This window comes from Homo sapiens, chromosome 14 (assembly GCF_000001405.40).
Source record: "Homo sapiens chromosome 14, GRCh38.p14 Primary Assembly".
Classification (NCBI taxonomy): domain Eukaryota; kingdom Metazoa; phylum Chordata; class Mammalia; order Primates; family Hominidae; genus Homo; species Homo sapiens.
In genome coordinates, this window is record NC_000014.9 from 35,057,910 (window position 1) to 35,079,201 (window position 21,292).

The 21,292-nt window shown below is 41.3% G+C and overlaps 1 protein-coding gene across 3 annotated transcripts in view; it reads left to right on the forward strand.

Annotated features, from left to right (window-relative positions):
- FAM177A1 (family with sequence similarity 177 member A1) overlaps window positions 1-21,292 on the forward strand; it is a 38,477-nt gene that overhangs the window by 13,003 nt on the left and 4,182 nt on the right. For all 3 annotated transcript variants that reach the window (NM_001079519.1, NM_173607.5, NM_001289022.3), the window contains 2 exons: window positions 19,241-19,307; window positions 21,018-21,115. In NM_001079519.1, coding sequence (NP_001072987.1) covers window positions 19,241-19,307; window positions 21,018-21,115 — 165 coding nt within the window. The remainder of the gene's footprint in view (window positions 1-19,240; window positions 19,308-21,017; window positions 21,116-21,292) is intronic.

The window sequence follows — 21,292 nt, forward strand, 5'->3', positions numbered from 1 at the left end:
CTTAGAACGTTCCATATGTACTTGAGAAGAATGTATATTCTGTTGTTGAAAGTGTTCTATAGGTGTCTGTGAGGTCTAATTGATTTTATAGTATTGTTCAAGCTTTCTGTTTCCTTGCTGATCATCTGCCCTGTTGTCCTACTTTTTATTATTATTATTATTATCATTATTATTATTTTTCGAGACAGAGTTTCACTCTTGTTGCCTAGGCTGGAGTGCAGTGACACGATTTCAGCTCACTGCAACCTCTGCCTCCCAGGTTCAAGTGATTCTCATGCTTCAGCCTCCCATGTAGCTGAGATTACAGGCTTGCACCTGGCTAAGTTTTGTATTTTTAGTAGAGACGGGGTTTCACCATGTTGGCCAGGATGGTCTCGATCTCTTGACCTCATGATCCGCCCACCTTGGCCTCCCAAAGAGCTGGTATTACAGGTGTGAGCCACCGTGTCCAGCCCCTATTTATTATTAAAAATGAGATATTGCAGTCTTCAACTATTATTGTTGAATTGTCTATTTCTCCCTCTCTTTCTGTCAGATTTGTTTAATGTACTTTGGTGCTCTGTTATTAAATTAACTGCATATGTATTTATAATTTCATATCTTCCTGATAGATTGACCCTTTTATCATTATAAAATGTCCTTCTTTACCTCTAGTTACGTTTTTTGTTTTCAAGTCTATTTTAGGTCTGGCATGGTGGCTCATGCCTGTAATCCCAGCACTTTGGGAGGCTGAGGCAGAAGGATTTCTTGAGCCCAGGAGTTTGAGACCAGCCTGGGAAATGTAATGAGACCTTGTCTCTACAAAAGATAAAAAACATTAGCCATGCGTGGTGGCACACACCTGTGGGCTCAGCTACTTGGAGAGGTGAGTTGGGAGGATCGCTGGAGCCCAGAAGTTTGAGGCTGCAGTGAACTGGGATCTCACCACTACATTCCAGTCTAGGTGACAGAGTAAGACCTTGCCTCAGAAAAAAAAGGAAAAAAAAAGTCTGTTTTGTCTGCTACTGATATTGCCATGTGAGCTTTTTTTTGTTTTCTTTTTTTTTGGGACGGAGTCACTCTGTCGCCCAGGCTGGACTGCAGTGGCATGATCTCGGCTCACTGCAAGCTCCGCCTCCCGGGTTCACGCCATTCTCCTGCCTCAGCCTCCCGAGTAGCTGGGATTACAGGTGCGTGCCACCACACCCAGCTAATTTTTTGTATTTTTAGTATTCACCATGTTAGCCAGAATGATCTCAATCTCCTGACCTTGTGATCCACCTGCCTCGGCCTCCCAAAATGCTGGGATTATAGGTGTGAGCCACCACGCCTGGCCAGTGTGAGCTTTTTTATAGTTTGTTTTGTATATCTTCTTCCATCCCTTTTACTGTGAATCTGTTTGTATTTTTTAATCTAAAGTATCTCTTGTAGACAGCATATAGTTGGATCTTGTTTTTTTTAATCCAATCTAACAATCTCTGCCCTTTGATTCAGTTGTTAATCCATTCATATTTTATGTTGATTTAGTTGGATTTACATCTGCCATTTTACCTTTTATTTTCTATGTCTCATGTCTTTTTGCTCCTTTCTTTTCTACTGTTATCTTTTGGATTAAGTGAATATTTTCTACAGAAGCATTTACATTTCTTTTTTTTTTTTTTTTTTTGAGACAGAGTCTCACTCATCGCCAGGCTGGAGTGCAGTGGCGCAATCTCGGCTCACTGCAACCTCTGCCTCCCAGGTTGGGTGATTCTCCTGCCTCAGCCTCCCGAGTAGCTGGGATTACAGATGCACGCCACCACGTCCTGCTAATTTTTGTATTTTTTAATTTTTGTATTTTAGTAGAGACGGGGTTTCACCATGTTGGTCAGGTTGGTCTCGAACTCTTGACCTTGTGATCCACCTGCCTCAGTCTCCCAAAGTGCTGGGATTACAGGCGTGAGCCACCACACTCCACCAATTTTGTGTTTTTAGTAGAGACAACCAAGCTGGTCTTGAACTCCTAACCTCAAATGATCCACCTTCCTTGGCTTCCCAAAGTGCTGGGATTACAGGCGTGAGCCACTGCGCCTGGCTGTTTTTTTTGTTTTGTTTTGTTTTTTAAGATGGAGTTTCACTCTTGTCGCCCAGGCGGGAGTGCAGTGGCGTGATCTCGGCTCACTGCAACCTCTGCTTCCTGGATTCAGGTGATTCTCCTGCCTCAGCCTCTGGAGTAACTGGGCTTACTGGCATGCACCACCATGCCCGGGCTAATTACTGTATTTTTGGTAGAGACTGGGTTTCACCATGTTGGCCAGGCTGGTCTGGAACTCCTGACCTCATTTGATCCACCTGCCTTGGCCTCCTAAAGTGCTGGGATTACAGGCATGAGCCACTGCGCCTGGCCAGTTTTTGTTTTGTTTTGTTTTTAATAATTTCTGTCTCTTTTTTGATACTCTCTGCTTGATGTGATACTGTTATACCTTCCTTTATTTTTAATTTATTATTTTCTTAGGTCTTCAAACATATTTATAAAAGCTATTTGAATTTTTTTTTCTGTTAAATCCAGCATCTTGTCAGTCTCACAGGTATTTTTTGTTGCCTGATTTTTTTCCCTATGTATGGGTCATACTTTTCTGTTTCTTTGCATGTCTCATAATTTTTTGTTGGAAACTAGATATTTTAGATTATATATTATAGCAACTCTGGGTACTGTGCCCCCATATCTTGTCATTGTTATTTGCCTGTTTATTTGTTTAGTGACTGCTGTGTTCTTTTAGTGAAGTCTATTCTCCACTCCTATTCTTTCCTGCAAATTAGCTAGCCTATAGTTTAGCCTGTATTTTTATTAAATCTAAGAATCTTCTCCCAGTTACAGTAGTCCCCCCTTTATTTGTAGTTTTGCTTTTTGTGGTTACCCATGGTCAGTTGTGCTCTGAAAATATTAAATGGAAAATTCCAGAAATAAACAATTGATAAATTTTAAGTTGATCACCGTTCTGAGTAGCATCATAAAATCTCATACTGTCACACTTGGTACCTCCTTCATCAGAAGAAGGGTGCATACAGTACAACATGATATTTTGGGAGACCACATTCATATAACTATTATTACAGTGTATTGTGATAATTGTTCTATTATTAGCTATTGTTAATCTCTTATTGTGACTAATCTATAAATTAAAATTTATCATAGGCATGTGTATATAGGAAAAAACAGTATAGGGTTCAGTATTATCCGCAGTTTCAGTCACCCATGGGAGGTCTTGGAACACAGCCCCTGCAGATAAAGGGGGACCACTGTACATTTTGCTACAATCTCCAGTGTTTTTGAGAACACCCTTAGCCTTGGACTTTTCTAGGTGTGTTGCAAATGAAGTCAGTTCCTTTGGGAAGAGATTAGGAGTTGTCTGCTTTGTTTCCTGTCCTGGCTGGCTCCCCTACCCCAGCCCCGCCCTTCTGCCTCTCACTCAGGGCAATCTCTGAGCCAAGGTTTTGGAGCTGGGGGTGGGGACAATGGCTCATTTCTGTCTGAATAACACCTTCACTTTAGGAGCTGAGCATTTATGGGAGGTGGGGTCAGTAGCTTTAAGTATTTTTTTTTTTTTTTAGTCTTTGTTTTACAAATGTCTATTTGTTTTTTTCTCATTTCTTTTTTTTTTTTTTTATCTCACTCATAGATGGGAATTGAACAATGAGAACACATGGACACAGGAAGGGGAACATCACACTCTGGGGACTGTTGTGGGGTGGGGGGAGGGGGGAGGGACAGCATTAGGAGATATACCTAATGCTAAATGACAAGTTAATGGGTGCAGCACACCAGCATGGCACATGTATACATATGTAACTAACTGGCACATTGTGCACATGTACCCTAAAACTTAAAGTATAATAATATTAAAAAAAAAAGCTGTAAGTATTTTTGACTTGCCTCTGCTGGCGTAGAACTTGCCTCTGCTGCCTTATGAACTGGGTAAAGGCGATCAGGGCCCTGGTGTTCTCAGTGGTGCCATGCTCAAGGTAGAGCCTCCATTCTGTGAGCAGAGGCTGGTGGAAGAAGAGAGTCACCCCCTGTCAACCACACTTACCTGGAAATTGGCCTCAGTAATAGATGAGAAGTGCTGGTTAATATTCTGTTCCTCCTGAGAAGAAAACCCAACTGGAAGCTGAGGGGAGGGGGAACCCTGTATTCTTGGCTGTACCAGTCTGAAGTGCAGTTTCTGCCTTCCTTTGCTGGGAGGGTGCTGAGAGGGAGTGGTCTTAGTTCAGTTACCACAGACGTTTGCTTTTGTTACCAAATTTTCATAGATTTTCTTGAATAGATGTTTATTCATTTATATGCCATTAAGACCATTTCCAGGTGCTTTAAATGTTTATTCTTTAATAAATTTCATCAGTTTTACTGGGAAGTGGGCCCAGAGTTCCTCATGCTGTTATGATAGAGGTCTATATCCACTATTAAGGTCTTTAATGACCATGTATATAGCATATTCATGTTGGAATTTCCCTGAGTTGTGAAGCCCAATCCAACAGATCCCTGGGTGATAAGAAATCTTTTTATATTTTCTTCACTGAGAGGTACCATGAGATGTCAGAAACTTGGTTTTTAGTTCTGGCTCTGTCCTGTAGTAGTCACCTTGCTTTGACAAAGACTTAACTTTCATTGTAGTTAAAGTTCCATGATTACAAAGAAGAGAGATAACTTGCCTCACCTACCTGTAGTTGTTTTTAAAGATTAAATGAGATAATATCTATGAAAACTCACTGAAAAGTGACTTGGCTGAGCACAGTGCCTCATGCCTATAATCTTTGCTTTGGAGGGCTGAGGCAAGAGGATTGCTTGAGCCCAGGAATTCAAGGCTGCAGTGAGCCATGATCATGCCACTGTACTCCAGCCCGGGCAACAAAGTGAGACCCTGTCTCAAAAAAAAAAAAAAGAAAAGAAAAATATATGGTAGTATTAATTAATAAAGCAAATATAGCAAGTAGCACAAGAAATTTTATTTGCGGTTTTTTTTTTTTTTTTACTTAAGGTAATTTTAGAACTCGATTTGAGATTGAAACCCCATAACTTATTTTTTAAATTTTCTCTATAGTTCCTATTTAGTATCATTTAAAAAAAAAAAAAGGTCGGGTGCGGTGGACCACGCCTGTAATCCCAGCACTTTGGGAGGCTGAGGTAGGCGGATGAATGGCAGGAGAATGGCTTGAACCCGGGAGTCGGAGATTGCAGTGAGCCAAGATCGCGCCACTGCACTCCAGCCTGGCAACAGAGTGAGACTCCATCTCAAAAAAAAAAAAAAAAAAAGATCTAGTTCTATATTCAGATTTTAGTATCATTTTAGAGTTTATAAAATTGATTTATGACTCCAATTTTTAAATATCAATTTTAAAGCTTTAAAATTATATTTTCCCTTTGGGGCCAGGCATGGTGGCTCTTGCCTGTAATCCCAGCACTTTGGGAAGCCAAGGTGGGTGGATCCCTGAGGTCAGGAGTTTGAGACCTGCCTGGCCAACATGGTGAAACCCCGTCTCTACTAAAAAAAAAATACAAAAAATTAGCCAGGCATGGGGGCGGGTGCCTGTAATCCCAGCCGCTTGGGAGGCTGAGGCAGGAGAATCGCTTGAACCTGGGAGGTGGAGGTTGCAGTGAGTCAAGATCCCGCCATTGCACTCCAGCCTGGGCAACAAGAGTGAAACGCCATCTCAAAATAAATAAATAAATTTTCTCCATAGTTCCTATTTAGTGTCATTTTCTTTTTGAAATAACAAATCTAGTCCTGCACCCAGATTTAGTATCATTTTAGAGTTTATAAAATTGATTTGCTTTATGATTCCAATTTTGAAATATCAAGTTTAAAGCTTTAAAATTATATTTTTTCTTTTGGGCCACATTACATGGCTCTTGCCTGTAATCCCAGCACTTTGGGAGGCTGAGGTGGGCAGATCACTTGAGGCCAGGAGTTTGAGACCAGCCTGGCCAACATGGTAAAACCCTGAAACTCCATCTCTACTAAAAATACAAAAATTAGCTGGGCTTGGTGGCACAAGCCTGTAATCCCAGCTACTCGGGAGGCTGAGGCAGGAGAATCGCTTGAATCCAGGAGGCAGAGATTGCAGTGAGCAGAGACCACCCTACTGTGCTCCAGCCTTAACCACAGAGCGAGACTCTGTCTCAAAAAAAAAAAAAAAAAAAAAATCCCTTTTGGTACTTCATGCCTTTAAGAGTGCAATGGGCCAGGTGCAGTGGCTCACACCTGTAATCCCAGCACTTTGGGAGGCCAAGGTGGGCAGATCACTGAGGTCAGGAGTTTGAGACCAGCCTGGCCATCATGGGGAAACCTCGTCTCTACTAAAAATACAAAAATTAGCTGGGCGTGGTAGCATGCACCTGTAATACCAGCTACTCGGGAGGCTGAGGCAGGAGAATCCCTTGAACCTGGGAGATGGAGGTTGCAGTGAGCCGAGATCGAGCGACTGCACTCCAGCCTGGGCAACAGAACATGACTTTGTCTCGAAAACAAACAAACAAAAAAGTACAATGATTTTTTTAGGCAATATGAGCTGTTACTGTACTGTCAGTTGGTAGCTTTATGTTATAACTCAGCCTGAAGCTGAGAGAGGACATTTTACTTGAATTCTAAGTAAAATTTTCACAGAAAAACCTAATAAAGTTAATGAAGAATTTATACTTAGGAAATGTGACTATACATGTTGACTAAATTAACCGAGATAGAATAATAATTACTTAAGTCTTTAGCAAAAAGAGATACAATTTATTTCTCTGATTTTTTTTTTGAGATGGAATCTTGCTCTGTTGTCCAGGCTGGAGTGCAGTGGCGCCATCTTGACTCACTGCAAGCTCCGCCTCCCAGGTTCACACCATTCTCCTTGCCTCAGCCTCCCGAGTAGCTGGGAATGCAGGCACCCGCCACCATGACCAGCTAATTTTTTTGTATTTTTAGTAGAGACAGGGTTTCACCGTGTTAGCCAGGATGGTCTCGATCTGCTGACCTCGTGATCCGCCCGCTTCAGCCTCCCAAAGTGCAATCCCAAAGTGTAATCCCAGATTACAGGCGTGAGCCACCGAGCCGGGCCTATTTCTCTGATATTTTTTATAGCTGCCTGAATTGCAAATGACTTCATCTGGTTAATTTTTTATGTACGCTCATGTTAATATTAGTCTGTCACCATATTTTTTTTTGTTGTTTTTTAATGCTGTAGCTTAATGTAGAATTACATTCATAAAGTAAACTTGCTGGTGGTTTTATTTCCCTTAAATAACTATAATATTTTTGGAGGGAAACTTTTTTTTTTTTGAGACGGAGTCTCTCTCTCTCTCGCCCAGGCTGGAGTGCGGTGGTGCGATCTTGGCTCACTGCAAGCTCTGCCTTGGAGGGAAACTTTAAATATTAATAGAATACATTATGGTTTAATATATTAAACCATAATGTATTCAGCCACTCAGGAGATTTTTCCATTGAATCTTTTTTTTTTTTTTTTTTTTGCTAGACAACATTCTCATTTCTGTTCAGAAAAAATTTTTAAAGCTTAGAACTAACCAAAGACTTCCACCTGAATAGTTTTTTTCAATTTTTCTCTGATAAGATAAGCACATCTTAAATGCCATTTAGGGAAGTTGCCAACTGAGTATTTGATTACTTTTTGAATCCTTTTATATAGACAGAATGGTGCTCAGGCAGAATATTCTTTAAATAAAAATGTGTTACCTGCTATGCATTTCCTTCAACTTCCACCAGCAATAGATGGCTGTTAATTTTGTTTTTCATTAATGTAGACTTTGTTTTAAAAGGTATAAGAAGCAATTTTTTTTTTTTTTTTTGAGACAGTCACCCTGTCGCTCAGGCTGGAGTGCAGTGGTACGACCTCGGCTCACTGCAACCTCCACCTCCCAGGGTCAAATGATTCTCCTGTCTCAGCTTCCCGAGTAGCTGGGATTACAGGTACCTGCCACCATGCCCAGCTAATTTTTGTGTTTTTAGTAGAGACAGGATTTCACCATCTTGGCCAGACTGGTCAACAGGAGTTGGCCAGACTCCTGACCTCGTAATCCACCCACCTTGGCCTCCCAAAGTGCTGAGATTACAGGTGTGAGCCACTGCACCCTGCCTAGAAACAAAGTATTAAAGCCATTGTCTGATAATATGAAAATCGTAGGAATTCTAATCCTTTTTTTTAAATTTTTTTCTTTTTGAGACAAGGTCTTCCTCTGTTGCCCAGGCTGTAGTAAAGTGGCATGATGATGGCTCACTGTAGCCTTGACCTCCTGGGCTCAAACGATCTTTCCACCTCAGCCTCCTAAGTAGCTGGGACTACAGATATAGGCCACCACACCTGTCTAATTTTTAAAATTTTTTGTAGAGATAAGGTCTCATTATGTTGCCCAGGCTGGTCTTGGACTCCTCGGCTCAAATGATCCTCCTATTTTGGCCTCCCAAAGTGCTGGGATTACAAGCATGAGTTCCTGGCCTCAAATCCATTTTTCTTGTGTTGTTTAAAGTAGTAAAAGAGCATCTTTTTTTTTTTTTTTTTGAGACAGAGTGTCACTCTGTTGCCCAGGCTGGAGTGCAGTGGCGTAATCTCGGCTCACTGCAACCTCTGCCCTTGGGATCAAGCAATTCTCCTGCCTCAGTCTCCCTTGTAGCTGGGATTACAGGTGTGCGCTACCACTCCTGGCTAATTTTTGTATTTTTAGTAGAGACGAGGTTTCACCATGATGGCTAGGCTGGTCTCAAACTCCTGACCTCAAGTGATCTGCCCGCCTCAGCCTCCCAAAGTGCTGGGATTACAGGCGTGAGCCACCGCGCCTGGCCATAAAAGAGCATCTTGATGCCAACTTGATGTATATATTTAAATGCCATTGTTATAGTTAATGGAATGTATACATAATAGAGGCTTTTGAATCTTGAATCTTTTTTTTTTGAGACGGAGTTTTGCTCTTGCCCAAGCTGGAGCGCAATGGCACAATCTCAGCTCACCGCAACCTCTGCCTCCTGGGTTAAAGCGATTCTCCTATCTCAGCCTCCCTTGTAGCTGGGATTACAGGCATGCGCCACCACGCCTGGCTAATTATGTATTTTTATAGGGACGGGGTTTCTCCATGTTGGTCAGGCTAGTCTCAAACTCCCAACCTCAGGTGATCTGCCCACCCTGGCCTCCCGAAGTTCTGGGATTACAGGTGTGAGCTACCATGCCCAGCCCAATTTTCTGTTTTTATTAAACATATTTATTGCCTCAAGTACTTACCATTTATTCTTCCTAACTGTAACATTGAGCTCTTTGACCAACATCTCCCCATTTCCCCTTAACCCCCAGCCTCTGGTAACCACCATTGTGCTCTCTGTTTCTATGAGTTCAGTTTTGGATTCCACATAAAAGTGAAAACGTGGCATTATGCCTTTCTGTGCCTGGGTTATTTCAGTAGCATAATGTCCTCCAGGTTCATCCACGTTGCACAAATGACAGAATTCCCTATTTTTAAAGGCTGAATTGTATTTCATTTTGTATATATGTCACATTTTCTTTATCCATTCATCTGATATGGACACCTAGGTTGGTTCCATAATGTGGCCATTGTGAATAATGATGTAATAAACATGGGAGTGCAGATATCTCTTTGATATACTGATTCCAGTTCCTTTCAATATATATTCAGAAATTGAATTGCTGGATTATATAGTAATTCTGTTTTTAATTTTTTGAGGAACCTCCATCCTGTTTTCCAAAATGGCTGTACTGATTTGCATTCCCACCAAGTGCACCTGGGTTCCCTTTTCTCTACATCCTTGCCAACATTTGTTATCTTTTATCTTTTTGATAATATCCATTTTGACAGGTATGTGGTGATATCTCATTGTGATTTTAATTTGCCTTTCCTTAATGATTAGTGATGTTGAACATTTTTTCATATATCTGTTGACTATTCATATGCCTTCTCTTGAGAAGTATCTGTTCAGGTCCTTAGCCTAGTTTTTAATTAGGTTGTTTTTTTGCTTTTGAGTTGTTTAAGTTCTTTACATATTTTGGATATTAACCCCTTATCAAATGTATGGCTTGCAAGTATTTTCTCCCAATCCATGGGTTGTCACTTCACTGTGTTGATTGTTTCTTTTACTGTGCAGAAGCTTTTTATTTTGATGTAATCCCATTAGTCTGGTTTTGGTTTTGTTGCCTGAGCTTTTGGGGTCAAATCCAAAAAAGTATTGCCCAGACCAATGTTATGTAGTTTTCCCTTATGTTTTCTTCTAGTAGTTTTACATGGATAATTTTTCCAATATGTATTTCAGAATCTCCATCGGTGGCAGTAAATAGGTTTTTTATTGTGTAAGTAGAAAATCTTTTACATGGTGGAGTATGTTAACAGATGATTGGTATCTTAATGTTAGAGCATTTTGATAGCAGGTAACCATAAAACTACTTCTAATCACCATATCCTTTCTTGTGTTTGTGGACTAGGCATCATGTGAAGTTTCTGTTTGCTCCTGTAGATTTACTCTCTACTCGTCTGCATGCTGCATTGTACTTTGGCATGTATGCACTGTATTAGTAGAGTCCTTTGTCCTCTGGCTTTTTATTGAGTTTAGCCAATGTGAACCACCGGCAGGAAATTAGAGGGCAGGGAATAAAATGAGGTTGTGTTATTTACTCTTCACCATTCTGATTCTGGGATTCCTTCCTTATTATATGCCATGGGTAACTGGATTTTCTACTAAGGCCACAGCTACTATTGGGAAGCCTTCTCCATTTGGGTATTCTCCCGGGGTTCCCAGTAACTGCTCTCTCTTTTTACCCCTTCAGATATTGGGTTTGTGATAGCCCATTTTGTGCTGCTATAATGGAATACCACAGACTGGGTAATTAATAAAGAACAGAACTTCATTGGCTTACAGTTGTGGAGGCTGGGAAGTCCAAGATTGAGCAACTGGCATCTGGCAAGGGCCTTCTTGCTGCATCATTGAATGTAGCAGAAGGCAAGAGGGTGAGAGAGAGACAGAGAGAGAAGGGGCCAGAGCTCATGATTTTATAACAAACCCACTTCCATAATAATGGCATTAATCCATTCATGATGCTGGAGCTGTCATGGCATAATCACTGCTCGTTCAGTCCCAGCTCCCAACACTGTTATATTGTTTCCAACACACGTTTTTTAGGGGACACATTTAAACAACAGCAGGGATATTAATGGTTTTCTCAGTGCTATTAGCTCTGGGGTACTATTCTGTTCATTGTTGGAAACCTTGTCCGCATCTTTGTAGATAATACCCTATTAGCCAATTAAAAAAATTTTTTTAAATGTGTATAGCTAAATCTCACCATTACCAGCCAGTTTGAATGTATCGTTGGGTTTCCTGCCATAGACCAATACAACAGCCAATGCTTATCCATTGGAGTAGGTTTTTTTTTTTTTTTTTGAGACAGAGTTTCACTCTTATTGCCGAGGCTGGAGTGCAATGGCGCAATCTCGGCTCACCATAACCTCTGCCTCCCGGGTTCAAGCGATTCTCCTGCCTCAGCCTCCCAAGTAGCTGGGATTACAGGCATGTGCCACCATGCCCGGCTAATTTTGTATTTTTAGTAGAGACGGGGTTTTGCCATGTTGGTCAGGCTGGTCTCGAACTCCCAACCTGAGGTGATCTGCCTGCCTCGGCCTCCCAAAGTGCTGGGATTACAGGCATGAGCCACCGTGCCTGGCCCCATTGGAGTACTTTTTAACAACTGAAGATAAACCTGGCTTCACTTAATGTTAAGAGCAGACTTTCAATTTTCTGTTTCCTCTTAATACATCATAAATATGATAAGACAAAGGAATTTTGAAAAGGTCCTGTATTTCCATAGTACATTTGTAAAACAGACTCAATTTTTAAAACCCTGACATTTAAGATAAAGATTTAAGATTAATACTCCTGGCATATGATACTAATAGAGCATAAGAAGTGGAGACCTATGCTAGACGTGGTGGCTCACACCTGTAATCCCAGCATTTGGGGAGGCCGAGGCGGATAGATCACGAAGTCAGGAGTTCAAGATCAGCCTTGCCAAGATGGTGAAACCCCGTCTCTACTAAAAATACAAAAATTAGGTGGGCGTGGTGGTGGGCGCCTGAAATCCCAGCTACTCGGGAGGCTAAGGCAGAGAATTGCTTGAACCTGGGAGGTGGAGGTTGCAGTGAGCCAAGATTGCACCACTGCACTCCAGCCTGGGCGACAGAGTGAGACTCTGTCTCAAAAAAAAAAAAAAAAAAAAAAAAAAAAAAAAAAAAGAAGTGAAGACCTAGATCTTTTTATAATCTTATAGTAACTCACTTCAATTTTACCTTAGATGTACCTTAAGGTACATGTTGGCCAGGATGATCTCGATCTCCTGACCTCGTGATCCACCCGCCTCAGCCTCCGAAAGTGCTGGGATTACAGGCATGAGCCACCGTGTCCGGCCTATAACAATATTTTTTTTTTCTTTGCGTCGGAGTCTCGCTCTGTCGTCCAGGCTGGAGTGCAGTGGCATGATCTCGCCTCGCTGCAACCTCAGCCTCCCGGATTCAAGCAATTCTCCTGCCTCAGCTTCCCAAGTAGCTGGGACTACAGGTGCATGCTACCACACCTGGCTAATTTTTGTATTTTTGGTAGAGACAGGGTTTCACCATGTTGGTCAGGCTGGTCTCGAACTCCTGACCTTGTTATCTGCCCACCTTGGCCTCCCAAAGTGCTGGGATTACAGGCGTGAGCCACCACACCCGGCGGAGCTACAAGTTAATGGACAATCACATACATTGCTACTGCATATTTATAGGCAAATTTTCTAGTGTGAAGTTTTGCAATGTGAATGAAGAGCTTCCTAAATGATTATATTTTTGGCCTAGTTAATTCCACCTTTAGGAATTTAAGCAGATTAAGTAAATAGGCTTAATATTATAATTATATTAATATGATATAATACATGTGGAAAAATAGGATAGAGAAAATATGTAAGGGACAACAATGTTGTAAAAATAAGTGTATGCTCAGGAAAAGACTGGAAAGGTACCCTGATATTTGGATAATTATTTCTAGGTGGTGGAAAATGGGTGAATTACATTTTTCTTATATTGACCTCCATTTTCTTTCTTTCTTTCTTTCTTTTTTTTTTTGAGACGGAGTCTTGCTCTGTTGCCCATGCTGGAGTGCAGTGGTGCGATCTCAGCTCACTGCAAGCTCCGCCTCCCAGGTTCACGCCATTCTTCTGCCTCAGCCTCCTGAGTAGCTGGGACTACAGGCACCTGCCACCACGCCCGGCTGATTTTTTGTATTTTTTTTTAGAGACAGGGTTTCACCGTGTTAGCCAGGATGGTCTCGATCTCTTGACCTCGTGATCCACCCTCCTCGGCCTCCCAAAGTGCTGGGATTACAGGCGTGAGCCACTGCACCCGGCCGACCTCCATTTTCTAAGTGTTCTACAACAAATAAATATGACTTTTATAATCTGAAAATAAATTGTTTTAATAAGAAAAGGTAGTAGGTCTTAATAGGGAAGGAAGAGATACTTATATTTTTGGAGGAAAAATGAATCATTTTGAGTTTTAGCACTATATACAAGAAGTCTTGAAGACACAAGATCTTGTCCCAGTTTTGCTATTACTGGGATAGTCTAGGTGGTGGAATTCTGGCATAGACTCTAGCTACTTCTTTTTTTTGATTCAATCAAGTCAATGTTCAAACAAAGGGCCCTATATATTCATTCTGTATAGTTGTGTGGGATGATGATAAATGTTATTCAGGAATTATTAACCTGTTTTTCAGCTCTGGAGCAGATTTGATTCTTTGGTAGTCATAGCTTGGATATTATCAATTATTCTCGCCAGAAACAACCCCAGGAGAATTGGTCCACTGAGAAACATATTTACAGTTGAACCTTGAACAATGTGAAGTTTAGGGGTGTGACCCCCCAACTACCCTGCACAGTTGAAAATCTGCCTATAACTTTTTATTCCCCCCAAACTAAATTGCTAATAGCCTAGTGTTGACTGGAAGCCTTACCTAGAGCATAAAGTCAATTAACACATATTTCTTATGTTATATGTATTATATGCTCTATTCTTACAATAAAGTAAGCTATAGAAAAGAAAATGTTGGCTAGGCGTGGTGGCTCATGCCTGTAATCCCAGCACTTTGGGAGGCTGAGGTGGGCAGATCACAAGGTCAGGAGTTTGAGACCAGCCTGGCCAATATAGTGAAACCCCATCTCTACTAAAAATACAAAAATTAGCCGGATGTGGTGTTGGGCACCTGTAGTCCCAGCTACTCGGGAGTCTGAGGCAGGAGAATCACTTGAACCTGGGAGGCGGAGGTTGCAGTGAGCCGAGATCGCAACATTGCACTCCAGCCTGGGTGACAAAGAAAAGATAAAAGAAAGGAAAGGGGAAAGGAAAGGAAAAAGGGTTAAGAAAATTATAAGGAAGAGAAAATATATTTACTATTCATTAAGTGGGAAGTGGATCATCATCATAAGTCTTCTTCCTCATTGTCTTCACATTGAGTAGGCTGAGGAGGAAGAGGAGGGGTTGGTCTTGCTGTGTTAGGCATGGCAGGAGGTGGAAGGGGAGGCAAGAGAGAAAGGCGTACTTGCTGTGACTTCATGGAAATACGTAGTAATTTCTGTCTGACTGTTTTACTTTTTTATTTCTCTAAAAATTGTTTTAGGTGGTAACAGTTCTTTTCCCACCATTTGCTTTAGTTTCATTGCCTGTATAGAAGGGTCCATGTTGTAAAAGAAGTCAAGTAGTCTTGAAAAATCGGAGCCCTTCTGCCAGATTGTCTAATGTCAGTTTCTTTTCTGGCACTGCTGCTTTTACATCTTCTTCATTATCTGGCAGTGGTTTGGAGGCACTCATCTCTATCAAGCCATTTTCTGTTAATATCTCTGGTGTTGTGTCTGTTAGCTCTTGAATTTCTCCGAGATCCAAATTTTGAAACGCTCCACCCTCCACCCCCCCTTTCCTTTCATATCTACCATATCTTTCATGATTTCATTGATTGGCTCTGTCGTAAATCCTGTGAAGATGTGCACAACACTTGGGCACAGTTTTCTCCAGCAGAAATTTGTTTCGTGTTGATGTCTTTCACAGCTTTTTCTATAACAATGGCATCTTCAGTGGTGTAATCCTTCCAGACTTTCATGATGTTTTCTTTATCAGGGTTCTCTTCTTCTTCTTCTTCTTCTTTTTTTTGAGACGGAGTCTCGCTGTCACCCAGGCTGGAGTGCAGTGGCGTGATCTTGGCTCACTGCAACCTCCATCTCCTGGGTTCAAGCAATTCTCCTGCCTCAGCCTCCCAAGTAGCTGGACTACAGGTGCACGCTGCCATGCCCAGCTAATATTTTGTATTTTAGTAAAGACAGGGTTTCACCATGTTGCCCAGGCTGGTCGCAAAATCCTGAGCTCAGGTAATCTGCCCGCCTCAGCCTCCTGAAGTACTGGGATTATAGGCGTAAGCCACCACACTGCCCAGGGTTCTCTTCTATGGCATCAACAATGCTTTCCATAGAGTACTGTGTGTAATGAGCCTTAAAGGTCCTTATGACCCCTGATCCAGAGGCTGAACTAGAGATGTTGTGTTTGGGGGCAAGTACAACACTTTGACACCTTCAGTGTTGAACTTGTGGGGTTCTGGGTGGCCAGGAGCATTGTCCAATAACAAAAGAATTTTAAAAGGCAGTCCCTTATTAACAGAATACTTCCTGACTTCAGGGACAAAGCATTGATGGAACCAATCCAGGAAAAGGGTTCTTGTTGTCTAGGCCTTGACAAGTACAGACAAAAGACTGGTAGCTGGTGTTTATCTTTTTCCTTTAAGGCTTGGGGGCTAGCAGCTTTATAGATAAGGGCAGTCCTAATCATAAACCGGACTGCATTTGTACAAAATAGTAGAGTTAGCCTATCCCTTTCTGCCTTGAATCCTGGTGCTTGCCTCTCTTCCTTACTAATAAATGTCTTTTGTGGCATGTTTTTTCAGAATAGGGCACTTTGATCTCCACTAAAAACCTGTTCTGATAGATATCCTTTCTTCTCAATGATTTTCCTAATGATGTGTGGGAACTCATCTGCTATCTTTTGTTTGGCAGAAGCTGCTTCTCTTGTTTTGTTGACATTTTTAAAGCCAAACTTCTTTCTAAAATTATCAAGCCATCCTTTGCTGGCATTAAATTCTCCAGCTTTAGATACTTTATTAGGGTTCTCCAGAGGGACAGAACTAATAGAATATATGTATATATGAAAGGGAGTTTATTTATTTATTTTTTGTGAGACAGGGTCTCCCTCTGTTGCCCAGGCTGGAGTGCAGTGGTGCAGTCTTGGCTCACTGCAACCTCCGCCTCCCGGGTTCAAACGATTCTCCCGTCTCAGTCTCCTGAGTAGCTGGGATCACAGGCGTGTGCCACTACAGCCCAGCTAATTTTTGTATTTTTATTTATTTTATTTATTTAGAGATGGAGTCTTGCTCTGTTGCTCAGGCTGGAGTGCAGGGGCTCAATCTCGGCTCACTGCAACCTCCGCCTCCCAGATTCAAGCGATTCTCCTGTCTCAGCTTCCCTAGAAGCTGGGATTACAGGTGCACGCCACCATGCCTGGCTAATTTTTGTATTTTGAGTAGAGACGGGGTTTCTCCATGTTGGTCAGGCTGGTCTTGAGCTCCTGACCTCAGGTGATCCACCCGCCTCAGCCTCCCAAAGTGCTGGGATTACAGACGTGAGCCACTGCGCCCCGCCCCATCCACTCAGTCTTAACAGATATTCTTGTGTTTGCCTTTTTAATGCCCTTTTAATCATTAGTATATATAAGAAGATTATGGACAAGTTTTTCTCTTTCTCCCCTCCTTGGAAGCCATATTAAAACAATTATTTCCCAGATGCAGTGGCTTACCCCTGTAATCCCAGCACTTTGGGAGGCTGAGGTGGGTGGATCACATGGGGCCGGAATTTGAGACCAGCCTGGCCAACATGGCGAAACCTTATCTATACTAAACATACAAAAATTTGTGCAATTGGTGCACGTCTGTAATCCCAGCTACTCGTGAGGCTGAGGCACAAGAGTCACTTGAACCCAGGAGGCAGAGGTTGCATTGAGCTGAGATTGTGCCACTGCGTTCTAGCATGGGTGACAGAGTGAGACTCTGTCTTAAAAAAAACTCCAGAAAACAATTATTAATGCATTTGATTCCTTGAAGGCTTTATACTGTGTTTTCTTTGGATAAACGTATTGGTACAATGAAGCATGCCTTTATCACTGGCTTCATCTAGAGAGGCAGATAACATCTGTTTGGCAAGCTTCACAAAATTCATTTGGAATTATAGAACCAAGATTAACTACGTAGGTGTGCATTGTGGATTGCATTCTGCCAGTGGCCCTGGCTTACCAAATATGCACTGAACTTGTCTTGGGTTCTATGGTCTAGTCCTTTTTTAAGACTTAAAGAAGGGATCCAGTTTCAGCTTTCTACCTATGGCTAGCCAGTTTTCCCAGCACCGTTTATTAAATAGGGAATCCTTTCCCCATTTCTTGTTTTTGTCAAGTTTGCTACAAAAATTAACTCAAGATGGATTAAAGACTTAAATGTTAGACCTAAAACCATAAAAACCCTAGAAGAAAACCTAGGCAATACCATTCAGGACATAGGCATGGTCAAGGACTTCATGACTAAAACACCAAAAGCAATGGCAACAAAAGCCAAAATTGACAAATGGGATCTAATTAAACTAAAGAGCTTCTGCACAGCAAAAGAAGCTACCATCAGAGTGAACAGGCAACCTACAGAATGGGAGAAAATTTTTACAATCTACTAATCTGACAAAGGGCTAATATCCAGAATCTACAATGAACTCAAACAAATTTACAAGAAAAAATCAAACAACCCCATCAAAAAGTGGGCAAAGGATATGAACAGACACTTCAAAAGAAGACATTTATTCAGCCAACAGACACATGAAAAAATGCTCATCATCACTGGCCATCAGAGAAATGCAAATCAAAATCACATACCATCTCACACCAGTTAGAATGGCGATCATTAAAAAGTCAGGAAACAACAGGTGCTGGACAGGATGTGGAGAAATAGGAACACTTTTATACTGTTGGTGGGAGTGTAAACTAGTTCAACCATTGTGGAAGACAGTGTGGCGATTCCTCAAGGATCTAGAACCAGAAATACCATTTGACTCAGCCATCCCATTACTGGGTATATACCCAAAGGATTATAAATCATGTTGCTATAAAGACACATACACATGTATGTTTATTGCGGCACTATTCACAATAGCAAAGACTTGGAACCAACCCAAATGTCCATCAATGATAGACTGGGTTAAGAAAATGTGGCACATATACACCATGGAATCCTATGCAGCCATAAAAAAGGATGAGTTCATGTCCTTTGTAAGGACATGGATGAAGCTGGAAACCATCATTCTGAGGAAACTATTGCAAGGACAGAAAACCAAACACCGCATGTTCTCACTCTTAGGTGGGAATTGAACAATGAGAACACTTGGACACAGGAAGGGGAACATCACACACTGGGGCCTGTTGTGGGGTGGGGGGAGCGGGGAGGGATAGCATTAGGAGATATACCTAATGTAAATGACGAGTTAATGGGTGCAGCACACCAACATGGCACATGTATACATATGTAACAAACCTGCATGTTGTGCACAGGTACCCTAGAACTTAAAGTATAATAATAATAAAAAAAAAGACTTAAAGAAACAAACGAAACTTATCTTGCCGCTTATTTGTCCCTTATTTTCCCACCATTAAAAGCTCATTTGATGTTCCCTTACATATCCTGCTTAATTTCTCTGAACCTTAATTTCCCTGCTATAGCATAAGTATGTCAGATGGCATCCTTAAGTTTCTTTCTATTGACTGAACACCCCCTCTGGTGTTGTGTTTATAAATAGTGGAGACAAAAATGCAGCAAGACAGGAGAAAGGAAAGCTCTGGATTGTCAACTCATAAAATAATCCAGACTGCGATTACCAACTCCATTTCAGCGGCTGCATCTTTTTTTGATTCTTCTATGGGCTTAAGGTGGTGGTAGTTATATGGGTGAATGTAAAATATCTTTGTGGAATTTTAACTCTACAGATTTTAAATTGTTGATTGGATTGCAGTCTCTTTGTAGTACTGCCTATAGAATATTCTCGGTGCCTACCAAGTATTTGACTACTTCATTCTGGCCTAAATATATGGAATGAATTTAGGTATGAATGTTGCTAACATGATTTCTTGTTGCAGACAAAACTTACCTGGGGTCCCTACTTATGGTTTTACATGCTTCGGGCTGCTACATCAACTCTCTCAGGTATTGCTTTTCTGCTTGAATATTGTATAATTGCTGTAACATGCTTCAGCAACAGGAACTTTGCTAAATAGGATGTTTCCAAACTGAAGGAGAAACAATAGGGAGTTAATCACTGTCCTCAAGAGCTAGCTAGCATTGGGAGATAGTAACCTAACTTGTACTTCACATTAAAACATTCTTCAGCTTCCAATATAGTTTATTTTTTGAGGAATGAAAAATGACTATGTTAGTTTAGATATGGTTTTCAAGTTCTTTTTTTTTTTTTTTTTTTTTTTTTGAGACGGAGTCTCGCTCTGTCGCCCAGGCCGGACTGCGGACTGCAGTGGCACAATCTTGGCTCACTGCAAGCTCCGCTTCCCGGGTTCACGCCATTCGCCTGCCTCAGCCTCCCGAGCAGCTGGGACCACAGGCGCCCGCCACCGCGCCCGGCTAATTTTTTGTATTTTTAGTAGAGACGGGGTTTCACCTTGTTGGCCAGGATGGTCTCGATCTCCTGACCTCATGATCCACCCGCCTCGGCCTCCCAAAGTGCTGGGACCACAGGCGTGAGCCACCGCGCCCGGCCTCAAGTTCTTAAACCCTTTCTCTTAACAGCTATTTTGCTGCTTTGTCATTTGGTTTCCAATTGATAACATTCTCAATCTGTCTCACTGCTTATTCTAAAGCCTGTATTATAGTTAATTTATATTTCTATTTCATTAATATTCCATTTCTTAAATTGAGATGTGACTAAGTCATATTTGAAGGAAATGAATTATCAACTTATAACTTAATAATGCTAATTTAAAATATAGGTTTTAAATTATGAAGCTTTCTTCTGCTTCCATTTTTAACTCCCTCATAGCTTTTTATCACTTTCTGCATTTTATTAGAGCTAATTGTGAATAGTAATTGATTCAACAAACATTTACTGAGCACTGAATATATGCTAGACAGGTTGGTGTAATGGAAAGAGCATGAGCTTGAGATTCAGACCTAGCTTTGAACTTTGGATCTGCCTTATCAGTTTGGGTTAAGTTCTTTAACCTCTCTACGCCTAACCTTTCACAGTACCTGGCACATGGTAGGCACTCAGTGAGTATTATACTACAAGCCATTCCCCTCCTCCAGCCCAGTGATATCCCAGCTTTCTGAGTATACATTTTTCTTTTTTGAGACAGAGTCTTGCTCTTTCATCAAGGCTGGAGTGCAGTGGTGTGATCTTGTCTCACCGTAACCTCCACCTCCCAGTTTCAAGCTATTCTCTTGCCTCAGCCTCCTGAGTAGCTGGGATTACAGGTGCCCACCACCATGCCCAGCTAATTTTTGTATTTTTAGTAGAGATGAGGTTTCATCATGTTGTTCAAGCTGGTCTTGAAGTCCTGACCTCATGTGATTTGCCTGCCTCAGCCTCCCAAAGTGCTGGGATTATAGACATGAGCCGCCATGCCTGGCAGTATACACTTTTCTTAAAGACATAGATATATAACAGATACACCTAGTGATAAGTATTCTAATACAGACATGAAAAGACTTGTTGGGAGTTTTGAAGCCACCGGTACTTCTTGAAGAAAATCAGGGAAGATATACAGAAGATAGATCTATTAGGTTTTTATAATCTCCTTGAGAGCAGGAACAGTAACTCTTGTATTCCTACAGTGTCTTACACATAGAAAGTGCTCAAGAAATGTTTATAGAATTATATAAGTCTTTTAACTTTTGTATTTTCAGTGTGTGACTTCCTTGGAGAGAAGATTGCATCTGTTTTGGGTATCAGCACCCCAAAGTACCAATATGCCATTGATGAATATTATCGGATGAAGAAGGAGGTATGCCTCCTTTTTACATTTTCTTGATTCAGTTTGGTTTGCTATGGACTTGATGGGTTGCATAATGAGCCTATGTATTTTCTAACTGCCCAACATGTAGCTCTCTTATGCTAGGCATTTCATTCTAGAATCATTAATTTCTTTTATCAAAGTAACATACATTTTGGAATTCCTTTA